General features: G+C 42.0%; 1 protein-coding gene and 2 long non-coding RNA genes across 37 annotated transcripts in view, besides 2 other annotated features; 2 read left to right on the plus strand and 1 right to left on the minus strand.

Annotated features, from left to right (window-relative positions):
• The window catches only part of DTNB (dystrobrevin beta), a 296,335-nt gene that overhangs the window by 39,550 nt on the left and 231,259 nt on the right, over positions 1-25,526 (minus strand). For 15 of the 30 annotated variants that reach the window (NR_147180.2, NM_001351393.2, NM_001351392.2 and 12 more), the window contains 4 exons: positions 17,118-17,203; positions 16,094-16,207; positions 10,743-10,839; positions 2,723-2,743 (listed from right to left, as the gene is read on the minus strand). Coding sequence is in view for 29 of the 30 variants with exons in the window: in NM_001351393.2 (NP_001338322.1) it covers positions 2,723-2,743; positions 10,743-10,839; positions 16,094-16,207; positions 17,118-17,203 (318 nt within the window). In the remaining variant the exon portion in view is untranslated. Of the gene's footprint in view, positions 1-2,722; positions 2,744-10,742; positions 10,858-16,093; positions 16,208-17,117; positions 17,204-25,526 lie in introns of all 30 variants that reach the window. The other 15 variants (NM_001320935.2, NM_001394686.1, NM_001320932.2 and 12 more) reach the window with 3 other exon arrangements.
• Positions 1,077-1,126: a silencer, noted in NCBI's record as "silent region_11261". NCBI's record gives its function as "represses an Ori minimal core promoter by ATAC-STARR-seq in GM12878 lymphoblastoid cells {active_cell/tissue: GM12878}" and the evidence as "EXISTENCE:reporter gene assay evidence [ECO:0000049][PMID:35858748]".
• Positions 2,554-3,233: an enhancer, noted in NCBI's record as "active region_15456". NCBI's record gives its function as "activates an Ori minimal core promoter by ATAC-STARR-seq in GM12878 lymphoblastoid cells {active_cell/tissue: GM12878}" and the evidence as "EXISTENCE:reporter gene assay evidence [ECO:0000049][PMID:35858748]".
• DTNB-AS1 (DTNB antisense RNA 1) lies at positions 4,301-14,128 on the plus strand. 5 transcript variants are annotated; one of them, NR_183379.1, is made up of 4 exons: positions 4,301-4,341; positions 6,651-6,723; positions 9,794-9,923; positions 10,675-14,128. It is a non-coding gene; the product is annotated as a DTNB antisense RNA 1 (long non-coding RNA). The 5 variants fall into 5 exon arrangements; NR_183380.1 differs by lacking the exon at positions 9,794-9,923 and having other exon boundaries at positions 4,301-4,431; positions 10,632-14,128; NR_183382.1 differs by lacking the exon at positions 9,794-9,923 and having other exon boundaries at positions 4,301-4,431.
• Positions 16,309-24,843, plus strand: LOC124900608 (uncharacterized). 2 transcript variants are annotated; one of them, XR_007086248.1, is made up of 3 exons: positions 23,274-23,364; positions 23,528-23,602; positions 23,693-24,843. It is a non-coding gene; the product is annotated as an uncharacterized LOC124900608 (long non-coding RNA). The 2 variants fall into 2 exon arrangements; XR_007086247.1 differs by having other exon boundaries at positions 16,309-23,602.

Genomic DNA, 25,526 nt, shown 5'->3' on the forward strand with positions numbered 1-25,526 from the left:
GAAGGAAGGAACGAAGGAAGGAAGGAAGGAAGGAAGGAAGGAAGGAAGGAAGGAAGGGTGGTTGGGTTAGGGTTATATCATAGTTCTGTGTTAAATACGCCTATGTTTTGGCCTGTCACTCAATAATGGTGGGGATTAAACAGAAGCTAGTTCTAAAGCTTTATAGTCTCTTCAGTTGTACATCTGAAAAACATTGAATTACGTAAAGTCATTCAGTCCAAATTTGAGCCTCAGAGCTGAACTTACATGGGTCCAGTTTAAACCTGTGAAGTGGACAGAAGGATATTTCTATCTAAGTCAACAGAGCAGCACTTCTTACCTCATACCATGGTGGGGAAAGCTGAGGAAAAAACAAATTGTACCAATTCACGCTATGGACAGTCCTATAAGACTGTAAGGACTTGGACATGAGCTCAGGTCCCTGGCCATGGAGAACTCCCAAGATATACCTACAGTGGCTCATTAGAGGCAGGCTTCAGCAGTCTAGGTTCTCATTTTGCCAACTTCAAGGGGATGGTGATCTCACACAGAATGAAAGGTCACTGAAATGGACACGTTATTTAATCCCCTGTCTGCTCAAGGCTAGCTTTAAATTGACCTGAGAACTAATATCACAGCAGTGGCAATTCCTGTTTCTTGGATTACATGGTAATCCATAAAAATTTTAAAAATTAAATGTCTACTGGAAGCTCTACTGCTACGACTAAGACCAATATCCACAATGCCTGCCCTCTTCTGAAAGAGTTTTCAGGTGAGGTGTCGGGTGTTTCCAGTCTGTGCTCACTTGGAGCTGGCACACGCAGAGAGAGATCAGAAGATGCTGTTAGTCTGGGCAGACTGTTGGAAGTAGGTTTGCAGCAAGTAGCTGCAGCTGCAAAGTGCATCTCTGGGGTATGGAGGGCTGAAGAGAAGGAGGGGATGCTAGTGGTCAGCAACAACAGGTGAAGTGACACCCTGGATCATCAGGAAGGGAATACTTCATAACAAGGGGATGAGACCATCAGGAGCTGGAAGGATAAGTAGTCTCCTTCCTCTCCCTCCAACAGTCTCACTCATTTGTCTACTTGGGGGAGGTATTTCCAACATCTGCTTCTCTGGGACTTCTAGATAAACTGGAGGATTAGACTTCCCAGCCCCCTTGAGGTGAAGTGTGGTCATGTGATTTGCTCTGGCCAATGAAATGGAGAGGAAGTGATGCGTGTCACTTCCTGGAAGAAGCATGTAATGGCTGGGCTTGATTTGCATCCTGTTCAGCTTTGCCCATGTAAGTGTACCTACTGATGCAGAAACGCCAGAGATGGAAGCAATAAACTCTGTGTGAATAAAGAAAAAAGCAAAACCAAACCTAGGAAAAACCAAAACAAGTGCACTTTGGTTCCACGAAAGCCATCAGATTTCTGGGTTGTCGGCCACTCTTGATGCCATGTGCCATCTTCTTTCCCCCTGACAGTCTGTCTCCTCCGTACCCTCTTCTCACCTCCTCCCCTCACTACTGATCTCTTCTTTCCTTTCCTCTCGCCTTTACTCTATGGTCCCATTGCTCTCCTAGCTAGAAATTATAAGTATAATGTTTTATATTCCTAACCTAAAACATGTATACATTTGTGTTTTTTAAAAAAATGGGTAGGCTGGGCGTGGTGGCTCACGCCTGTAATCCCAGCACTTTGGGAGGCTGAGGCAGGCGGATCATGAGGTCAGGAGTTCGAGACCAGCCTGGCCAATATGGTGAAACCCTGTCTCTACTAAAAATACAAAAATTAGCTGGGTGTGGTGGTGCGTGACTGTAGTCCCAGCTACTCAGGAGGCTGAGGCAGGAGAATTACTTGAACTTGGGAGGCGGAGGTTGCAGTGAGCCGAGATCATGCCACTGTACTCTGGCCTGGGAGACAGAGCGAGACACCGTCTCAAAAAAAAAAAAAAGGCAAATTTTAAAAATTAAACGTTTTGTATTTATCTCCCAAAGGATAAAAAAGCTCCAAGGTAAACGAAAACTCAGCTTCAGCTTAAAAAATGTATGCTTTGAAATCTTACTATGTTATATAAACATATGGTGCTAATATTGTAGATAAGCCTGCAATTGACTTTCTTGTGTGGGTCAGTGGCTATCAGGATAAACAGAAACAAACATAAACCTCCCCCAAACACCATGCAATAGCCACACAGCTCAGAAAAACCCGAGCTCCGTCTGGAGTAGGTTCTGAACAGGAAATCATTGCAAGTGGAGTCAGTGTCTCAGTCGTCGTCAGTAATTTTGTTAAGGAGGCTGGCACAGCCCCAGCATCCAGAAGCCTAGTCGAGACTGCAGGACATCTATAGTTAGCAAAAGAAGTCCTCATTTTCATGCACATTCATTCATGACATGAGGTCACCCCAGCACCCTGAAAGTTGTTTCAAGCAATTAAAATCACTCCAGACACACAACAACAGAGAATGAAAGAGCAGGAAAATGCAATGGTAGCCTGGCTAATCATGCACACTTCAATGCGCACAACAGATGGGTACTTACAAGCTCTGGTTTTAAGTAAGAACATGCTCTACTGGGTAAACATGCCTTGAACTTTTAGGCCATTTTACAACACCATGGGGAGAACCGCTGGGGGTTTTACACATAAAACCCTCTTCAGAGATGATGTGCGGGGAGAAGAGGAGAAACATTTATATGAGGAAAGGAAGAACGTGCAAAGGAGCGAGAGTCCGGCGGGAAATTCCGAAGTTCACTTACTGCCTGCTTTTGCTCTTCCTCCTGGAGTGTTGAAGATGAAAAAAAAAGGCAGAGGAAAAAAGGAGAGAAATTAATGCCCATTAATGCCCATCACCACAAACATTGGTCAGAAATGATAGAAAAATCAGGCAAACCAGGCCAGGCCCACAGGTGCTGAGATCAAAGGCCCCATCCCCCACAGGAGCATCAGAGGACGAAGCAAGCAGCAGGCCTCGGCCCGGTGAGTGATTCAATGCTAACTCCTAGAGCTAGAAGGAAAGAACCTTAGAAACCACCTCGCCAACATTCTTACTATAGATCAAACAGGCCTAGAGGGCCTGACCTGCCTAAGGTTCACATAGCTATTTAGGGGAATCTGAAAGAGGAAGTGCAACCATGACTTGAAATTGTAATAATAATTCTATATTCATCATTCACGATATTCACATGTGTTTAGGTACATTTATCGAGGCAAGTGGTTTTTGATGCATGGAACACAGACCAGCAGCATCGGCATCACCTGGGAACTTGTCAGAGATGTAAACTTTGTGCCTCACCCTATCCCCACCAAACCGAAGCTCTAGGGGTGGGCCACAGCAATGCGTTCAATCTTGTCTCTGATTCTGGTGCATACAAGTCTGAGACCCACTGCCCTCATCACTTCCCAACTAGCAATTCTGCCCACTACAGGTTCTTTTCTTATTTGGTCCCCTCTCCACACTAAACATGTTGGAACTGTATCCCCGTCTACTTGCTTTCAGGCACAGTCTTTTTTTTTTTTTTTTTTTTTTTTTTCAGTGAGTCCCATACATACACAACTTCCCCCAGTAAACTGGAAACTGTTTGGAGACCCTGAAAGGTCATTCAAAAAAGAATTCTTGACCTCAGTTTTTCATTAATTCAATACAGGTTTATTTAGTCCTCTTATGCAGAAAGCACTGGAAACAAAGAAATGGTCTCTGTCATCTAAATCAATCTATCTATCTATCTATCTATCTATCTATCTATCTATCTATCTATCTATCTATCTGTCTGTCTATCGACAGAGTTTCGCTCTTGTTGCCCAGGATGGAGTGCAATGGTGCGATATGGGCTCACTGCAACCTCCACCTCTGGAGTAGCTGGGATTACAGGCATGTGTCACCATGCCCGGCTAATTTTGTATTTTTAGTAGAGATGGGGTTTCACCATGTTGGTCAGGCTGGTCTCTAACTCCTGACCTCAGGTGATCCGCCTACCTTGGCCTCCCAAAGTGTTGGGATTACAGGTGTGAGCCACTGCACCTGGCCGGTCTCTGTCTTTTAGAACCTTATGGTGATGGAACACAGAGCAGGCACTTGCTGGCTATTAGCTGACTGCCCAAATGAATGCACTATCAGACACTGCAGGAAAAAGGATAAAGAGAACACTTTCAAGTTTCTCTTTCTTCAGTTCTTTGCTACTCATCTACTCTGTCTTTTAATGGGCCTCTTCCACTTCCTCCTTCTGTGCCTCACCATGGGTCACTGTGGTCAGGGAGACTCAGCTCTTTGGCCTAGTATGTAAATCTAAAAGCTGTGCAATGGTTCTATTTAAATTGGAACAATTCATGCAGCCAGTCTTTACTGAACATGTACGTGCCTAGGAAGTCTCAGGAATGGGTAAGTGCTCCTGCTCCCACACAGTCTACAGACCTGGGTGCAATGGTGAGAAAGACCTCAGTAAAGCAAAGGAATTACGAAAGGGAGAGGGTGAGTAAACACTTGGAGAACATAATTTTTATTACTGCAAGGGACAGACAGGGACTAGAAATAAATGGGCACCGAGAAATCTCTTAAGGAGACTCCCAACTCAGCATGGGAAGGTGCTCTTCACAATCAAAGCCAGATGCTGGATGCCTGACCAAAGCCAAACTCACAGGAGCCTAGGCACAGAGCGCTGAACACTGGCTCTGGCAGCGGGAAGGAATTAGAGCGCTTCTGCTTTTGCACCTGCTTTGCAGTTAGGAAGCAAGCTCTCTTCCTTGCCAGACTTCCCTTTGGGGCAGGACACTTTTCTTATATTCTTGAGGCAAGGCAAACAGTCATAGGACAGTTATTAAACAATTATAAAATGTGTTTTCATTGCTGGCACTGTGTTGAAGTGGAAAGTGCGATGGTTGGGGAGGGATGGGGCAATCCTAACAGGCTGAAATTGTATCCGAGGTCAAAAGACCAGTATGTAATTTCTTAGAACTGTTTCTAAGACATCTCCCTACTTCCACAGTTTTCTCCAGGTTTGGTATTAAAGAGAACACTGCTGTGGCTCAACAGAATAGGGAAATTCAGAAAGCAATGTTTCATACTTGGACATCTGGTGATTGCAATTTAAGTTTGTCAGAAGAGAAACCGTAATTTGCAGTAGATATATCAGGTTAGGCTGGGGACAGTGGGCAGGGCAGCGCTTCCAGGACTTACAGGCCTTCCATGTGGCCTGGTACTGGGGAGAGAATGGACTTTGGCAAAGTGTTATTTAGGATAGTGTTGTATAATTTAAACTCACAAAACTTATTCAGATAAAGCCCTTAAGGCTCTGTCAACACAGTAAACAGGTCAGATCCCAGGTCTGAGAACCTCTGTGTTATCAACTAGTCAGGTGGGGTCACTAAATATTGACTGATGACAAGGGATAGAGCCAACGTGATTTAAAAGGGGGTAATACCTTAATTATAAAGTGTAAACTTAGAACTGCTTATGTCACCTAAAAACATGTGAGTCTCTTCCACATGAATGAGGTCTGGCAAGGTGGCCAAAGCAATGACATAGCCACTGTAGTCATTTACATAAAAATTTACACTCAAACTAGATAAGCATTTGCAAATGAGGTTGAAATTCAAAACTGCAGAATTCATCTGGTAAATGTAAATGAGTTTCCTTTTCTCTTCTTTTTTTTTTTTTTTTTTTTTTTTTTTTGAGATGGAGTCTCACTGTGTCGCCCAGGCTGGAGTGCAATGGCGCGATCTCGGCTCAGTGTGACCTCCGCCTCCTGGGTTCAAGTGATTCCCCTGCCTCAGCCTCCTGAGTACCTGGGATTATAGGCATGCACCACCACATCTGGCTAATTTTTGTATTTTTAGTAGAGGTGGGATTTCACCATATTGGCCAGGCTGGTCTTGACCTCAGGTGATCCACCTGCCTCGGCCTCCCAAAGTGTTGGGATTATAGGCATGAGCCACCACGCCTGGCCTGGTAAAATGAGTTTCAAAAGCAATATCAGACAAATGGAAAATGAAGTAGAACATGGATTAGAAACACCAACACATAAACACTTCTAGATTAAATAGGAAGTTTTTTTGAGGTCAGTAATTAATTAATACTCATTAATCAGGTAAAAAGTATAAGGGAAAGATATGTAGAGAAACATGAATGCCTGAGTGTCAGTCTACATTATGTCATTAAAAAGAATAAAGGGTGGCTCACGCCTGTAATCCCAGCACTTTGGGAGACCAAGGTGGGTGGATCACCTGAGCTCAGGAGTTCGAGACCAGCCTGGCCAACATGGTGAAACCCGTCTACTAAAAATACAAAAATCAGCTGGTTGTGGTGGCGGGTGCCTGTAATCCCAACTACTCAGGAGACTGAGGCAGGAGGCAGGAGACTCACTTGAATCCGGGAGGCAGAGGTTGCAGGGAGCCAAGATTGTGCCACTGCACCCCAGCCTGGGCAACAGAGTGAGACTCCATCTCAGACAAAAAAACAAAAAAACAAAGAAGGAGGGTCCTTGATACTCCTTGATTGATCAGGGATTGAGTCTAGTCACCATGATATGCCAAATAACTAATGTGACACTTAGGAACTCAATAGATTTTTGTTAAAGAAACAAAAAAATTAATTTTAACCCTGCTTTATTCCAAAAAAGGATTAAGATTTTTGTTGAATGAATTAACAGTGATGTCACTTCTTATGTATGCTTCTTTAAATTATCATTTCAGATAGAAGATAAAGTACATAATAGTTTCCTGAAGCAGCAGAATGAAAGAACTCTCTGTGGCATGAAAATTTACTGTGAGATGTATTTTAATTTATGAGTATCTCAGACCATGTGGCTTGATTGTCCATCTGACTAACTGCTTCCGACTATTTTATGAGAGAATTAAATGCTAGCATACTGAACATCAATAAAAGCAGACAACCCCTTTTAAATTAAAATTAGGATTTTCTTTTCTTTTTTTTTTTTCTTGCTCTGTTGCCCAGGCTGGGGTGCAGTGGTGTGATCTCGGCTCACTGCAACCTCCACCTCCTGGGTTCAAGCGATTCTCCTGTCTCAGCCTCCCAAGTAGCTGGGATTACAGGCGCGCACCACCACGCTCAGGTAACTTTTGTATTTTTGGTAGAGATGGGGCTTCACCACTTTGGCCAGGCTGGTCTCAAACTCCTGACCTCAGGTGATCCACCCACCTTGGCCTTCCAAAGTGCTGGGATTGCAGGTGTGAGTCACTGTACCTGGCCTAAAATTAGGATTCTAAAGGGTACTTTTATGGGTTGATGAATATATATTTCTAATAGTAGGAAAACACTGAAATTTTAACAGAAGTCAGTAATTCCTGTGTATGACCTTTCAGGTATGCATATAATACAAAAATTAAGATTACGTGGTAATTCTTTTAGGAAGCTGGACACTAAAGGCATGAGATTTTCGACTGTGAATTCTAGCCAATGGATAGAAAGGCAACATTCCTAGATTTGTGTTTGCAAATTCTTCCTCCCAGTCTGAACAGCCTTAGCCTGTCAGACGGGTAAATGATATTTAAGAACCTGGCAGGGGATCCTACAGGGGCAGCAGTGTCCTGCTTATTTTTCTGAAATTACTGCTGCAAATATAAAGAAACTCAGGGTTTGGGATCAGAGTTGCGGGCATTAGCTCGTTCTGCTTAGCCCTTGAATACAAGCATCAGCGGTACACTAGAAGGCCACAGTGGCATGCATGGGGCTTGGGGTCAGTAGTTCTGGGGATCACTAAGACAATCCAACTGAAAGGCAATGGTACAAGGTTACTTAGGGGAGATACACTCTGGCTTCCCTGCAGTTTACATAAACCTTTTGCCTTTTACAAAAATCACACTGGGGCACTGGGACTTTCCCATCTATGCTTGGGTAATATTTGAGAACATCTTTCTGAAAAGGGAGATGTGACACAGGGAAGAGGTGAGTGGATCCCCTATTTTTTTTTTTTTTGAGACTGAGTCTTACTCTCTGACCCTGGCTGGAGTGCAGTGGTGTAATCTCTGCTCACTGCAGCCTCCACCTCCTGGGCTTAAGCGATCCTCCCACCTCAGCCTCCTGAGTAGCTGGGATTATAGGCACGTGCCACCGTGCCCGGCTAATTTTTGTGTTTTTAGTAGAGATGGGGTTTTGCCATGTCAGCCAGGCTGAACTCCTGGCCTCAAGTGATCCACCCATCTTGGCCTCCCAAAGTGCTGGTATTACAGGTGTTAGCCACTGCGCCCGACTGGATACCCTATTATCTCCCATCCCACAGGTGTACTAACTCCATGGCAGCAGGGCTTTTAAAGCCCCACGAGGCTGCAGATGTTACACAGGCCATGTATGTTTAAGTACATCCCTGCTGTTTAGATGAGGGGCTAGGTTGCTTAGCTGGGTATCTGACAACTATTAAGAGGGATTTAGGCCACATTTTTACATAAGATTTTCTTTAAATAAGACCCATTTAGACATAAAATATTTCTGAGGAAAAATCCTGCTAACAGGGTTAATGTAGAAACATATCTATGCAAAACAACCCAAATACTCAGGGCCAAAGCTAGGGGGAAAAAACAACAACCACCACCACCACCAACACCACCAACAACTCAGCTCATAACAAAACAGTAATTGTCTTGAGCAAGTCAAAATTCAGTTTAAAACACAAATGCTACATTTATCCAAGTTGCTAATGCCCACTAGCTTCATTACTAAGAGACTGACTTAGAATGCAGAAGTTGGAGAAAGTCTCTAAACTGATATTCTCCTGGGCTACCACTCCTGGGGTTAAGATCCTTGTCACTTCGGGCCTGGAGGATGAAATTAGTCTCCTATTATCCTTTAGTTTCTTCCCACTCTAACTTGCCCTGCGCATTTTCCTAAACTGTTATTTTTAAAACCTCCAATGACTCCACTTTATCACAAGATTAAATTCACTCCTGTCATCTGGCTTTGGGGGCACTCCACACTTTGTGATTTTCTCTGGCTGTTAACTCGATATCATACTACAAAATGCAGGGAGTTCTCAGCATCGCTGGGCAGGACCTGAGAAAGTAATAGCAGGAGCAAGTATCCTGGTATTGCTGCTATGTAACCAGGTAGATATTTCTGTTCGATGCCAATAAAATTGTCCAGGGGGAGGGCATTCAAATGCCAACCATGCCTTTCTTTGCTCAGGGGTACAGGGGTTGTAATATAACTTTCAACAACAATAGATAGACTTCATATGCCTGTAGTCCTAGCCACTCAGGAGGCTGAGGAAGGAGGATCCCTTGGACCCAGCTCAAGCAAGGTTACAGTGAGCTATGATCACGCCACAAGATAGACCTGACTTATTATGCATGTATTTAGTTCCCCAGTATCCCAAACCTACAGCTAATATGCTATCTTACTCTTAATATAGTGAAGTTACTGATTAGAATGGTTTAATTAGGTTGGTTTGTGTGATGGTTATTTTTATGTGTCAACTTTACCAGATTAAAGGATAGTCAGATAGCTGGTAAAACATAATTTCTGGGTGTGTCTGTGAGGGTGTTTCCAAAAGAGATTGGCATTTGAATCATTAGACTGAAAAAAGATCTGCCTTCACCAACATGAGCAGCATCATCCAATCCACTGAGGACTTGGATAGAAGAAATCGCTTGGGTGTAGCTCTAGTTTGTACAATTTAATTATTATACAATTTCATGGTATAAATAGGCTATAACTTCATAATCCATTCTACTGCTGATGATCATTTGGATTAGTTCCAATGTTTGACTGTTGTGAATAGTCAATGCCCTCAGACATGTGAGCTCCCCAGGTTCTTGGGCCTTTGGACTCTGGGACTTAAACCAGCAACCCAACACCACCCATCTCCCAACCCACCTCCCAGATTCGGAATCACACCGTCAGTTCTCCTGGTTCTCAACCCTTCAGAGACAGACTGAATTACACCACCAGCTTTCTTGGTTCTCCAGGATGCAGATGGCATTAACATGAGACTCCTTTACCTCCATGACTGTGTGAGACAATTTCCATAATAAATCCCCTCTTAGATATCTTTATATACATTCTACTGGTCCAATTTTTCTGCAGAACCCTAATACAGTTGTCTCTGTACTACTTATTGAAATAGGACACTTAATATTTGTTAAGTATTTAAGTGGAATATTTGAAAACTTGTCTTAACAGAAACTTTAAGGCCAGGAGCAATGGCTCATGCCTGTAATCCCAGCAATTTGGGAGGCTGAAGTGGGTGGATCACCTGAGGTCAGGAGTTTGAGACCAGCCTGGCCAACATGGCAAAACCCCATCTCTACCAAAAATACAAAAAAATTAGCTGGGCGTGGTGGTGGGCGCCTGTAATCCCAGCTACTCGGGAGGCTGAGGCAGGAGAATCACTTGAACCTGGGAGGCGGAGGTTCCAGTGAGCCAACATTGTGCCACTGCACTCCAGCCTGGGTGACACAGCGAGACTCCATCTCAAAACACACACACACACACACACACACACACACACACACACACACACTACTTTAAGTAGTTGAGAAATATTATTCATTTTTACATAGCTAATATCCTATTTATAAACATTCTTATTTATTCATAAAAGCAACTGCTCGAGACATTATCCTATTTCCAGTTACTAATTTTTTAATAATCTGGCTTTGCACTAATTTAGATGACTTTTATACCCAATTAGGCTAAATTTATCTGAAAACTGATTCTAGGCTAAAGTCAAGCCTTTGGCCTCATCCTATTCTGACATCACAGGGAGGCAGCAGCTGAGGCTGTGGTGGGAGAAGAATGACAAGAACTGAGCGTGGGCCACGGGCTCTTACCTTCAGCAACTTCATCAGCTCTTCCAGCTGGACCATCAGCTCCCGCCTGCTCTCCTGCAGGGCCGACATCCTCTGCTCCAGTTCATCCTTCCTTTGCCTATCCAAGACGAGAAGCCTATCAGATAAAGAGACCCTCAAAGATGGATCTAAGGCCAGGTGAAATGGATTTCAGACCTGATCCTGCTACTTACCAGTTATGAGACGCTGAGCAAGTCATTTAGCATCCAATACCTCATAAAATGGTGATAATGTCTGTTTTGCCTACTTCCTGGACTGTTCTGAGAATAATAGGTAAAAGTGCTTTGGAAAGTTTAGATGACTATATAAAGGTATTACTTATATTACCAGAGTGAATTAATGATTAAAAAACTCTTTAGAAAATCAATGCCTTTTGAAAAATATATAAAATTAGCCCAAATTTAGATTAATAGTAAAGAAACCATATTAAACTGCTCAGAGAAAACAGGGTCCAGTAGTAAGTACTTTCAGCACTAGACAGATTCAAGAAGGATGACAGATCAGGACGGCTCCCTGTGTTCAAGAACAGTCACTTTTCCTTGAGGATAGATTTTATGCCATCTACTCCAGCTCAATATGTCCAAAACCAGACTTAAGACTTTATTCCCTAAATGGTTTTCTTGTCTCTGTCTCTTTTTTTTTCCTTGTCTCTGTCTCTTTTCCCTGTCTCTGCTATTTTTCCTTCCAGGTGTCATGGTTGAAAAACTCAGTCCTCTTTGTTACTTTCTTCTTTATATCCTGTATTCAATCAATAACTCAATTCAGATCATTCTTTCTTGGAAAATGTATGTGCCTATCTTTCTATTCCCATTTCTCTCACTTTATCTAAGCACTCCTTACCTCAAGCATGAAACAGTCTCCTTATGTGATTAATCCTGCTTTCTTTTTTTTTTTTTTTGTGACGGAGTCTCACTCTGTCGCCCAGGCTGGAGTGCAGTGGTGCCATCTTGTCTCAACTGCAACCTCCGCTTCCCCAGTTCAAGTGATTCTCCTGCCTCAGCCTCCTAAATAGCTGGGATTACAGGCATCGCCACCATGCCCAGTTAATTTTTGTATTTTTAGTAGAGATGGAGTTTCACCATGTTGGCCAGGCTGGTCTCGAACTCCTGACCTCAAGTGATCCACCTGCCTCAGCCTCCCAAAGTGCTGGGATTACAGTCGTGAGCCACCGCACCTGGCTCTTTCATCTTTTATGGTGAGGAAAAAGCAGTGAAATAGAAGTCAATGGCCTCAAAGTTGAGTATCAGCACCAGTATTTACCAAATATGCAACCTTAGACAAGTCACTTAGCCTCAGTTTTCTCTCTTCTAAAAGGGGACTAGTAACAGCAACAATATTCTGAGGATCATATAAGGTAATAAATATGAGAGTGTTCTACGAACTTTAAACTGCCGCTCAAAACAAAGCTATGTTCATTTCATCATCCCATAATGATCTCAACAGACTTTCTAGCATCACTGACCCTTGCCTGTGCAATCGAGACCTACGCTGTCTATCACAGCAGCCGCTAGCCACGCGTGACTACCGAGCCCCTGAAACAGGGCTAGGCTGAACTGAGATGCACGGCAATTGTAACATACACACTGGAATTCAAAGACTTAGTGCAGGAAACAGCAAAGTATCTGGATCATGTTTTAATACTGATTACATGTTGAAAGGACAATATTTTGAAAATATCAGGTTAAGTAAGATATACTATTAAAATTAATGACGCCTATTACTTTTTGGTTTTTCAATGAGGCTGTTAGAAATGTTTTGATTATGTGCGTGGCCTGCATTTCTATCGGCGAGTGCGGCTCTAGATCCCATCTACATTCCTGTCCTTAGTACCACACCTCCTATCTTATGCCCTTTGTGTCTGGACCTCCAGCTTACGGTTCATTTTTCCTAAGTGGGCTCCATCATTTTATAACTCACCTCTCTTCCAAATCTTATTCATTCCGTAATGTCTGACCCAACATCACTGTCGGGAAGCTGCTCCTGATCACTTCAGCAGGGACTGCTTGATTAAGCACTACAGTAATTAGTGCTCCTCAGTGGTACTTAATTTACTTTACTGCTGCCATTCCTACCATGATGCAAAATCCTTGAGGTCAGGGGATGGGCCTTACTCATCCTTGCATGTATTGAAGGATTAAGAAAATATCATGCATCCAGTATCACCTAATTAACATCTACTGAACTTACCAAAATCATGATTTGAAACTCTCCAAGGGTTTCCAATGACCTAACAATTAAGACTTTCTAGAATCTGATCTCAATTGCCTGGCTAATTATATCTCCTATCACTGGCACTCTGAAGATTGATGTAATGAATGATTGAAAAGAAATTCTTAGTTCCAAGACTCTTTCCCTTTTCTGAAATGTGCCATAATTATTTGGGGGGAATCATGCTGAACCCCAAGTGCACTTCCAATCTGAAATGTTTTGTCCTACACTCCATCCAAATCATTATCTACTTTTCATGGTCTAGCTCAACTTCTACCACCTCCATGGTTCCAAATGCTTCCAGAGGAAAATTAGACACACAAAGGTGGTAGGGAATAAATATAGATATAATACCTATATTATATAGGTATTATATATGTAAAATCTTGTGTGTATACATACATTATATTATATATATTTCCCTACACAGATTTCTTATCCATACTGTTTATTGACATTGCACAATATTTTTTAACTATCAAATTATTTTATGTTTTGTTCCAAAACCAGATTATAAGTTTTTAGGAAGGACTCATTGTCTTCTAGTCTTCATACTCTCTACATTTCCAGTGCAGTAGACCCTCGATAAGAAGGATCTACTCATTCAATGTTCTAGGAAGACTTCTTCCTCTGAACTCCTGAGCCTGGGTGTGATATTCTTTATCTGTACTGTGTGTGACCAAACAATTACGGTATAAGCTGAACATGAATGAGCTACAGCTACATCCAACCACAGAGAACGATCCTAAAGGCTAATATGGTGGGGGTAGGGGGTGGAGAGGGAAGTCCTCTGGGACTATCCCCACCATATTAGTATAATATTTCTATTAAGCTTAGAAAACAAAAAGCAAAACTAAACAGCTTATTACATAGGATAGTGATAATGCGACAATATTGTTTTAAACACAAGGTAATGATAAACCAAATTCTGGATAGGCGTTCACCCAGTGGGGAAGGTGGAGGCAAGGAAATGGGGTAAGGGAGAGGTACTTCTATGGATGGCATTGTTTTAGTCATATTATGAGTTCTCAAATAGGATGTGGGTTTATAAGTATTCATTTGACTATTACGCTTCATATACGTTTGTCGCACACACATTCGTCATACATTTTATTGTAAGCAACGTACCATTAAAAATAATAATAAAGGAAGAAAAGGCATCCCTGGTGGTCAAGGCTCATAGCCACTCACCCTATGGGTGAAGTTGTCTACCTTGTTTTATTATACTAGCTGGGTGCTGGCAGTCCCTGGCCTCATATATACTGATCAAAACCAGACAGATGTCAGATACCTACAAGTGAATCCAGCCCTTTATGTGTCTTTTGATAAGCAAAAGTTCTTAATATTAATATAAATGGATTTACCAACTTCTTCTTTCATGGTAATTCTGAGATACTACTTTCTATTCCAAAATCCTGAGGACATTCTCCTACTTTCTTCTAGAATTTTTTTTTTTTTGAGATGGAGTTTTGCTCTTGTTGCCCAGGCTGGAGTGCAATGGCATGATCTTGGCTCACCGCAACCTCCGCCTCCCAGGTTCAAGCAATTCTCCTGCCTCAGCCTCCCGAGTCTTCTAGAAGTTTTAAAGTTCTGTATTCATGTTGAATCCATCTGGTGTCGGTTTTTGTAATTAGTGTGAAGTAGAAGACCAGTATGTTTTGTACATAGGCATAGAAAACTGTCCCAGCACACTTTAAAATAGTCCCTCCTTTCTTCAGTGATATAGGAACTGCTTTTGAGGTTAAATACTTTCTGATTACTCCAACTTCAGACCCTCATTGGTCTCAGATTTACATTTCTGCTTCTTGCTATCCTATGTGACATTCCTGGACTCAGCCCTGCTACTACATCTAAGATATTTTTCAGATCCTTCCGGCTTAACTGAGCACTTTCAGCAATCCAGTTTCAGCAACAGTTAGACTCAGGATGACAGGCCTTTTTGCTTTTCTAGATATAAAACCAGGCACTAGACAACAGGTGCATCTTACGCCAACAGCCTAGACTTACACTCTGCCCAAGTCAGCAGCATTTGTGTTCCCATCCTCCCTAGTACGACACCAGCTGTACTAACACCACAGACTTGCAGCAGTAAACCACAGAGCCACCCAAATCTCAGCCTAACTACATTGAGAAACTAAAATAAGTTTTTAAGAGAACGAAAATCTCTATACATCTAATGATTTTTTTTCACCTGCACAGTTTAAATTCTTTATGACTCTACTATGACAACTTTTATTGATGATATAAATCTAAACAGTAGAACATCTACAGAAAACAATAATCTCCATTCTCTGGGAAAAGAAACAAGAGGCTACACAGAATCCTAGATGATAGCAAATTAAAAATCAACCTAAACAGAAAGAATCCACTATTTGAAAATCTAGAAATCTGGTGAGAAGTCACTAAATGTAGTTTCCATAATGTCTTAACTTACAGAAGAGTGCGTACACACACACACACACACACACACACACACACACACACCCCTTTCTAAGGCTCATAGGCAATAAGACCCTAACAATGGATCAGATCACTTCTGTGAAGACTTCCCCATTCCCTCCAAAACACCATCAAACATGGTGGTGACGCTGCTCTCTATTCCCATTCTCATCCTATGTCCTTAGTTTCCTGATTCTTGAGACACTTTGTTTAGAAGCCATGGTGCAAGGGTTTCATGTCTCAGAGATGCGCACAGGAAGCATCCTTCTCCTTCGGCAGAGCCCTGCATTGACTGTAAAGTGCCAGGAGAATATACTCACAGCAAAGGCAAAGCATTCTTCCCGCCAAGTGTCTCTAAAGTCAGACAAATTAGCAAGTTAAGAGACAGACTGCAGCACAGTGGTCTTCTTAAAGCAATCACAGAAGTATAAACAGTGCCCTGCTGGTCCTGGAGCTGGGAGACTGGTATTTACCAAGTTCTGTGATAATGGCTGACATTCTTAGAGTGATCTCTAATGGAACCCAGACATCTGAAGCAGCAACAGAATGGGTGAACTCTTCAGTGGTCTGCGCTCACAGGATTGTTTATACTGAACAACAGATTCTACCCCACTCCTTTGGTTTCCTCAGATAAGTTCCATCCATAGTAGATTACATGTGGCAAGTGGTAGAGTGTCCCTACTCACCTCAGCAGCCGCAGCTCTGCCAGCAGCGTGGGGTTCTGCTGTGCCTTCTCAGGGGTGGGCTGGGAGGCCTGCTCGTGTTCCAGGCGGAGACGCTGAATCTCCTGCAGGATCTCTCTAGAGAGGATGGGTGAACGGAAAGGGGCTGCACAGTGCTTCTCACTCACGCTCCCTCTTTCCCTATTACAACTTTTCAACTCTAGCAGTGCCTCCTCTACCAATCTTGTTTTGATTGCTTCCAAATGGCCAAGAGGTGAAATGGACACCTTCTCAATACTGCTTCACCTGACATTTCCTCAACAAAGCAATCCTTTGTGGTGGAAAAAGTCATAAAAATACTCTTCTCAAGGACCTGAAAAATCTCCAAGAAAGGAAAATTACAGCCAGAATACTTTATTTACTCCGTTCCACTCAGGCAGGAGGAAAAGGGAACTCCTTGCAACCTCCTAATGCAGGTCCTGTGCTGACTTCCCTTAATCCTTCCCTGCCCCTTCCTTCCCTCTGTCCCCGATGCCCCAGTAGACAGCTATGTTGCTTCTATCTATGCCTGTTACCTTAGGTCGGGTCTCCACATCCTGGCTTCTACCTTTCAGTACATAATGGTGTGCTGTCTGCTCTCTGTGCCGTTAAATGGCATTAATTTTTTTTTTTTTTTAAGGAGAGACCAGACAGTCCTACATAGCATAATGGGTCAGGACAAGATGACTAGATACAGCAAAATGTTGCTGGGAAGCAGAGTGGAAAACGCAATTGTGAGAGGGGGTCACACGGATGGGTGGGAGGAGGCCCTGCTAAAAGGAATCCCCCGAGGGCAGGTGAGCAGAGCTGTGGACTACCAGAATCAACAGCATGCAGACAGACACAAATCAGCGTCCAGGGCATTCCCTGGACTTGGGCTAGCCTAGGTTCACTGAGGCAAGGTCTTCCTTGGCGGTCAAAAGCCACCTAGTATCCAAGGAAAATGAGAATCAGATACGCACGTGATAATCCTGGACTCTGGAAGTGGGCTCAGCCTCTGCGTTCTTACCTGTTTTTGTTTTCCAGTTCTGCAATAAGCTGTCTTTGTTGTTTGTTGGCATCAAAGTTAAAGCTCAAGTCAGTGGGAGGACGAGTCTAAAGTGGGGAAGTCGGGAGAAAGTTTTTTTTTTTCTGATCCAAATATACCCAGAGTTCTAGATTGACTGATTTTTAAAAAAGATTTTTGACATATAATTTACATATCATAAATCCACCCGTTTTAAGTATACAATTCAATGAGTCTTAGTAAATTTAAACAGTTGTGCAACCAATCACCACAGTCCAGTTTTAGAACATTTTCCATCACCGCAAAAAATTCCCTCATGCCAGTTTGTCACCAGTCGCCACTCCCACCCCCAACCTCAGGCAGCCATGCGTCTGCTTTCTGTCTATAGTTCTGCCTTTTCTAGAAACTTCATATAAACACATAGTCTTTGGTTTCTGGCTTCCACTTGGCATAATGTTTTTGGGGTTAATTCATGTTTTTCCATGAACTAGTCTTTTTTTTTTTTTTTTTTTTTTGAGATAAGGTCTTGCTCTATCACACAGGCTGGTATGCAGGATGCAGTGGCATGATCACAGCTCACTGCACTCTTGAACTCCTGGGCTCTCACCTTGGCCTCTGAGTAGATGGGACTAAAGGCACATGCCACCGTGCCTGGCCTAGTAGTCCCTTCTTTTTTATTGCTGTATAGTATTCTATTGTTTCCAGCTTTTGGTTATTATCTATTGTTTCCAGCTTTTGGTTATTACAAATGAAGATGCTATGAACTTTCATTCACAAGTATTTGTCTATGTATGTTTTCATTTCTCTTGGGTAGACACCTAGGAGTAAAATTGCTGAATTATATGATAACTATAATTAACATCTGAGGAACTCCCAAACTGCTTTCTAAAGTGGCTGTACCATTTTACAATTGCATTAATAATAAATGAGATTTCCAATTTCTCTACATCTTCACCAACACCTGTTGTTTTATTTACTTTTTATTTTTTATTTACTTACTACTTTTTTCTTTTAACCATCCTAGTAGGTATCAAGTTCTCAATAGTAAATTTTTTAAAAATTAAGATATAATTTTCCTACCATAAAATCCACTTTTAAAAAGCATATAATTCAGTAATTTTTTTTCCTTTTTGAGACAGAGTCTCACTCTGTCACCAGGCTGGACTGCAACGGCATGATCTTAGTTCACTGCAACCTCTGCCTCCCGAGTTCAAGCAATTCTCCTGCCTCAGCCTCCCGGGTAGCTGGGACTACAGGTGTGCACCACCATGCTCAGCTCATTGTTTGTATTTTTAGTAGAGACAGGGTTTCACCATATTGGCGAGGCTGGTCTCAAACTCCTGACCTCAAATAATCCACCCACCTTGGCCTCCCAAAGTCCTGGGATTACAGGTGTGAGCCATCAGGCTTGGCCGAATTCAGTAGTTTTAATGTATTCATGAGGTTGTGAAGCCACCACCCCAAAAAGAAACAGCATACCCATTAAGTAGTCATTCCCCATCCCCCTTCCCTCGCCCTTGACCTCCATTATCCATCTCTATGAATTTGCCTATTCTGGATATTTCATATAAATGGAGCCATACAATATTGACCTTTTATGTCTATCTTTTTTCACTTAGCAAAATGTTTTTAAAGTTCACCCATGTTGTACCACATATCAGTACTTCATTCCCTTTTACAGCTGAATAATATTCCATTACATGGATATACCACTATTTGTTTACCCATTCATCAGCTGATGAACATTTGGGTTGTTACCACTTTTCAGCTGTTTTGAATAGTGCTGCTTTGAGCATGTATGTTGAGTTATGTTATTATTTCTCTTGTGTACGTACCTAGGAATGGAATTACTGGGTCATATGGTAACTGCCTTTTGAGAAACTGCCAAACTGTTTTCAAAAGTGACTGTATTATTTTACATTCCTGCCAGCAATGTATCAAGGTTCTATTTTTTCCACATCATCCTAATGGGTGTGAAGTGGTATCTCATTGTAAGGCAATTCGTATTTCCCCAATGACTAGTATGTTGAGCGTACTTTCATGTGCTTACTGGCCATTTGTATATGTTTTGTGGAGAAATTATGTGATTGTGATTTGCATATCCACTGATATTTCTGACCCTTGTTAACTCCTTTAAGAATATGGTAGCCAGCAGGTGCGGTGGCTCACACTTGTAATCCAGCACTTCGGGAAGCCGAGGCAGGAGGATCATGAGGTCAGGAGTTCAAGACCAGCATGGCCAACATGGTGAAACCTTGTCTCTAGTAAAAATACAAAAATTAGCCAGGTGTGGTGGTGGGCGCCTGTAATCTCAGCTACTTGGGAGGCTGAGGCAGAAGAATTGCTTGAACCTGGGAGGTGGTGGTTATAGTGAGCTGAGATTGTGCCACTGCACTCCAGCCTGGGTGACAGAGCGAGACTCCATCTGGGGAAAAAAGAAAAAAAAAAGAATATGGTAGCCAATGAACATGAGTAGGTGGTGGCTCCCTTTTATTGATTAACCAGAAAGGCAGCTCTCACTGAGGGCTCCACGATGACCCTGCTTCACTCTGTACACTCTTGGCTCTGCCTGAAACATGTTGTACCATGAAGACCTTGTTTCCTGTCTAGAGCATGAAGATTCAGTAAGTCTTTTCATGTGGCAGTTTCTAAATAAACAAGGGCAAAACAGCATAGCAAATCTGGGTAAGAGGCTTTTTACCAAATTATCAAGTGTTTTTCTTTTTTAAAAGAAAAAAAAAACCAAGATGATTTTTCTTCCTCCAGAGAAGCATGGACTGGCAGCCTACTGAGTAAATTTTCTATATTGTAGTCAGTCTTGTGAGAGCCTGAGTTGAGTCTCAGAAAAGTAGCTTGCTTGAGACTGAGGCTGGCTGTGAAGAACAGGTTTGCAATTCCTGAAAACTGGAGCTAAAAGTAACAGCTGCTTAATAGAGTGAGACGAGGGAAAATTATGGGTCAGGAGGTAAGCTCTGAAAGAAATTTGCTTCATATGATGATGAAAAGAAGCCCTGTGGCACTTCTCTGGAAGTATCTAGAGAAGCTTTCTGGTTTTGAGTAACTGCAAAGCCAAGGGATCTTCCACAGAGGAGGTTAATATAGGAATCAAGTCATTATCAACAGAGATTCCTAATCAGGTAAGACTGGTTGGCTCCAAGAAGCACTGTAATGCAAATATAAAGAAGTAGGGGTGGAGGAAGGTTCCAATCCTGAGGCAGCAGTTCCCCTAGGGGCAGCTGGTGTCCCGGCAGGACTCCTCAGTGATGAGTGTCCAGTGATGGCTTATCTCACTCAATCAAACTTTAAATACAGTCAAGTATACATCAAATAACAGAAACTTAGAACTTTTATCTATGTACTTTTTTTTTTTTTTGAGACAGAATCTTGCTGTGTCGCCCAAGCTGGAGTGCAGTGGCATGATCTCGGTTCACTGCAGCCTCCGCCTCCTGGGTTCAAGCGATTTTCCTGCCTCAGCCTCCTGAGTAGCTGGGATTATCAGCATGTGCCACCATGCCTGGCTAATTTTTGTGTTTTAAGTAGGGACAGGGTTTCACCATGTTGGCTAGGCTGGTCTCAAACTCCTGACCTCAAGTGATCTGCTCACCTCGGCCTTCCCGAGTGCTGGGGTTACAGGCATGAGCCACCGCACTCAGCTTTTATTTACAATCTTAAACACCATAGTGCTCATTAAGAAGAAGAAGAAGAAAAAAGCCAAGTCTCTTCCTAAAATGCCTTCAGGACACTGAAGGGAAAAAGACGGGAATGATTTCATAACAACATAGGAGACTTTGTTGATCCAGTTCATAAAGACATAGGATGCTTTGGCCAGAGAGACATGAAGATGATTTCTTTCAAAAAATAAGTAGTTCACACATTTATTCAACAGATACTTCCTGAGCTCCTACTATGTGCCAGGCACTGCTCTACCAGTTAGGGATGTTCTGGTGAATAGCCCCACCCCCATGGAGCTCAGATTACACTGGGAGAAAAATAAGAAACCCAAAAAATAAATATAGACATCAGCAGGGATAATGCAATAAAGAAATGCAGGGTAAGGAAACAGTGAACCGGGACAGAAAATTCTTTTTAAATGAGGTGGTGATGAAAGGGCTCTCAGAGACTCAATGAAGTGAGGAAGCCAACCAGGTGAAGGTCTGAGGGAAGGCCTGCTGGGCAGAAAGAAGGGCAAATGCAAGGCCCTGCAGCTGCTTGGGCTTGGGGTGTTCAGATCAGTGCTGACGGAGGGAAGGAAGCTGTGGTAAGAGCGAGGCACGGGGAGATGAAGGGTCTAGACCAGGGGTATCCAATCTTTTGGCTTCCCTGGGCCACACTGGAAGAACTGTGTCTTGGGCCACACACAAAAAAACTAATGATAGCTGATGAGCTAAAAATAAATAAATAAATAAATACACAAATCACAAAAAAATCTCATAATGTTTTAAGAAAATGTATGAATTTTTGTTGGGCCACATTCAAAGCCATCCTGGGCTGCATGCAGCCCACAGGCCATGGGTTGGACAAGCTTGGTCTAGACCATACAGGGCCTCTGAGCCATGGAGAGGAGTTTCCATTTCATTCTGAATGTGGTGTGAAGCCACTGTAGGATTCTGGGCAGGGGAATATGAAATTTGATTATATGTGTTAAAAACACTGTTCTACATTTACATAAATAAGTGGCTGAGTAATTTAATACATGGGGAAGAACAGACAAATTTCCCATACAGAAGAATTCCAAATAAGGTATGGACATACTCTGCCCTCAAGGAGGTGAAGCCTAACTCCCCATTCCTTAAGAGAAGCCTGTGCATAGTGACTTCCTTCCGAAGAGTCTGTGTGGAAAGGAAAAGGAATAACTTTATGTTGGAGAAACCTGACGAACACTGCCACAGCCAGGTGATCAAGGTCAGCATCAACAGTGACAACTCATGTTGATAGTAGGTACCTCTTGATACGCCATGATGAAAATGGCACTTTACCTTTTCCTTTCCCAAACCCATAACCCCAGTTCTAATCAAGAGATAAACATCGGACAAATTACAGTTATTAGACAGTCTATATCTGACTAGTACTCCTAAAAATTGTCATGGTCATCAAAAACAAGGAAAGTCAGAGAAACTGTCACAGCTAAGAGGAGCCTAAGATGACATGACAACTAAATGTAATGTATCCTGGATGGAACAGAAGAAGGACATTAGGTAAAAACTTAGAAAATATGAATAAAGTATGGACTTTAGTTAATAATAATGTATCAATATTGCTTCACTAATTGCAATGAATGTACCATACTAATTCAAGATGTTAATAACAGGGGAAACTTGGCTGGGTTGCTCACTCCTGTAATCCCAGCACTCTGGGAGACAGAGGTGGGAGGTCATTTGAGGCCAGGAGTTCGAGACCAGCCTGGTCAACACGGCAAAACCCCTACTCTACAAAAAATACAAAAAAAATTAACCAGGCTTGGTGGCGCGTGCCTGTAGTCCCAGCTACTAGGGGGCTGAGGTGGGAGGATTGCTTAAGCCTGGGAGGTTGAGGCTGCAGTGAGCTGAGATCACACCACTGCACTCCAGTCTGAGTGACAGAGTGAGACCCCGTCTCAAAATAATAATAGGGGAAACTGGGTGTAGATTATAGAGAACTCTCTGTACTATCTTTGAAATTTTTCTGTAAATCTAAAACTTTTAAAATAAGGTTTAAAAAATAAACATTGCTTTGGCTACTCGGTGGAGAATTTAGTGTAGTAGGAGAGGAATGAAAGTAGGGAGACGAATTAGTAATCCTAGCTTTGCTACTTTCTGGCTGTGCCACATTGAGTTATTTTACTATACCTTTATTTTCTTGTCTATAAAATGGGAATATTTAGTGAAAGTGATGTGGAGAGGATTTAATGATATAATGTAGGAGGCAGCACAATGCTCTACAAATGCTGATAATTATAACTCAAAATAAAATTGTATCTAATAAACTTATTATACACCTCTTATGTGTAAATCCAGCAAGTAGCAAAGGCAGAACTCTTAAACTGAAGATAAACACTGCAAAGCTTACTCATAAGGAGGACACATGGTTCTGGGGTTTAATAAAATTCTAGAATCTTGGTAGTCAAAGCATTATGTTCACACCACTAAAACTCAAGGAAGTTCCCAGGTCCAGTGAGCAACTCGGGGGTTGTAGCATCTAGAGCAAAAGATGCCCAGAAAAAAAACTAAAGCTGAAGGCCTCTTAATTGATCTCTACTTAGTGAGCATAGCAGGTATACTGGAAGGGTCTCGGCTTCCTGTGGAAAACACAGCTTGCGTGCTTAACAAGACTCGTCTGTTCCTCACTGGAACAAATGCACTTGCAATTATGTCATCTAATTAAATAACAAATAAACCAGTGAGATACGAGGATGAAAAGAGGGTTTCTATTTCTAGGAAAACCAAGTTGAATGAGTTGGAGACTCCATAGAGATGGGCTTCTAGAATAAAATGGCACTGACTTAGCTGAAGGTAAGACAGCTGTAAAGATTTGGAAAAATTATAAAGAGAAATTTTGTACTCTTGCATCGTAAGTTAGTAAGTTCTCATTTCATTGTAAAGGACTGAAAAAGGAAGCTGAACTTGCAACATGTGAGAACATTTTGTGCAAAGGAGACAACCTGGAGCTCCAGAGGACCTACACTCAGTGAATGGGCTTGGTCCTACATCCAAATATACATGAGGACATGCAGAGAAATGTTCAAGTATATAGGTATCATTTTTGTGGTTCCCTATTTTAACTTATTTAAAAATGTAGTAACAGTATTTTTAACATAGGCAAAAGGAGAGAAAATAATGTATTTCCATATACTCAAACTAGGTTAAACAGTTACAAAGATTTTTGACACATTTGCTTCATCTATCCCATATTTTATTTCTCTCTCAAGTATTTTAATGCAAATTCTTGAAAACAATCACCCCTACAGACGTCAGCAGACATCTGCAGAAATATTTTAAGCCAGCTTTTGATTGCTGACCAACCTGTGGTACAGGTAACAGGACTCCTACTGGGTACCAAGTCATTCACCTACAGGCCTACCTTTCCCCTCTCTTTGCTTCAACCCAGAAGACCTCAAGGCAAATAAACTGATTCCTGGATCCTGAGTGGTTCCTGGTTCACGTGGAAGGACATCTCTGAAGCTTCAACTCAGTGATTTACTTCCCCAAACCTATTCCTTTCATCCTTACAATGAAACCACCTGTGTAACAACCCGATTCTTTGAACGTTTTCTGGGAGTCCAGAGCAAGCCGAAACTTTCAGTGAACATCCTAAGGCAATCTGTATTGAACCAGGTTCACTCCAAAAACCCAGTTGGGGCCATTTCTCAAGGAGCTCAGAACAACCCGAGGAATGGATTCATGGGCTGTCCTAAAGTAGCCTTACTCACAGGTATCAGAGAATTCACTTGCTTCTAGGCCCTTGGATTGCTTTAATTCTTTCAATTTTCTTTTGTTCAACAACATAAAAAATATATTCTACTTATTGCAATTTTTACATGTCACATTCTGAATATTATCCTGTACCAGTGGCTTCTTGGTTGTTATATAACTTGTTTGGTAAAGTTATGCTGACAGCTTTAATGAGGCGATGTCATGTGATGCACGAATTTCCCCTGGTGCTGAATGTGGACATTAGCAACTCAGTATCGTGTGTTAGGGCAGTGGAGAATCAGGGTGTATCTAATAAATTCCTTCATGGAGCTCTCATGCCATTAAGCAGAATTTGCTCTTTCAAGAAGTTTCTTGATCACCTCTGAAGTAATAAACAAAACACTTAACAGGGTCTTAACAAAAACTTACAAACTGAAAAGTTCCAAATCTGTATCAAATTCAAAGCCAGGGTTGTTTTCAATCAGGGAAACCTGAATCCTAAGGAAGAACCAGAAATTTTTTTTTTCAAAGACACTCAGGCATCATAGGCATTCCTAAGTTGTGAAATGAAAAGAAGGTTTCCTAGAAAGTTAGGATAGAGATGGTATTTAATCTGCATTCTGGCTAGGAAGATGATGACATGCACCTTTTCAACTTTTCCCTAAACAGATTTTTTTTTTCCTCTTAACTTATTCCAGACCAAACAGGTTTCAAAAAACAAGAAAACTTCAGGGTTCAGATTTTTGAACTTTTAATAAGCCCAGAGATTTGGCTCATATTTGGCAAGTTCGCCTAAAGTGTCAACAACATCTAGTCTTTTCTAGTTCAACGTTGAGCTAATTAGGGCCTAATAAAGTGCAAAACATGGCCTGAAAGAGTAAAGTACTGGTCCTTTGCCAAGAGGCAGATTACAGAGAGGAATCTGATAGATTAACAGAGAAACTAAAATTATTGCCTTGTGCACTCTATCCAAAACTAATGGTTTTCAACTAAGGGTCACATCTAACATGGCAGGTGACTCTGG

The sequence above is a fragment of the Homo sapiens genome, chromosome 2, assembly GCF_000001405.40.
Source record: "Homo sapiens chromosome 2, GRCh38.p14 Primary Assembly".
Classification (NCBI taxonomy): Eukaryota; Metazoa; Chordata; class Mammalia; order Primates; family Hominidae; genus Homo; species Homo sapiens.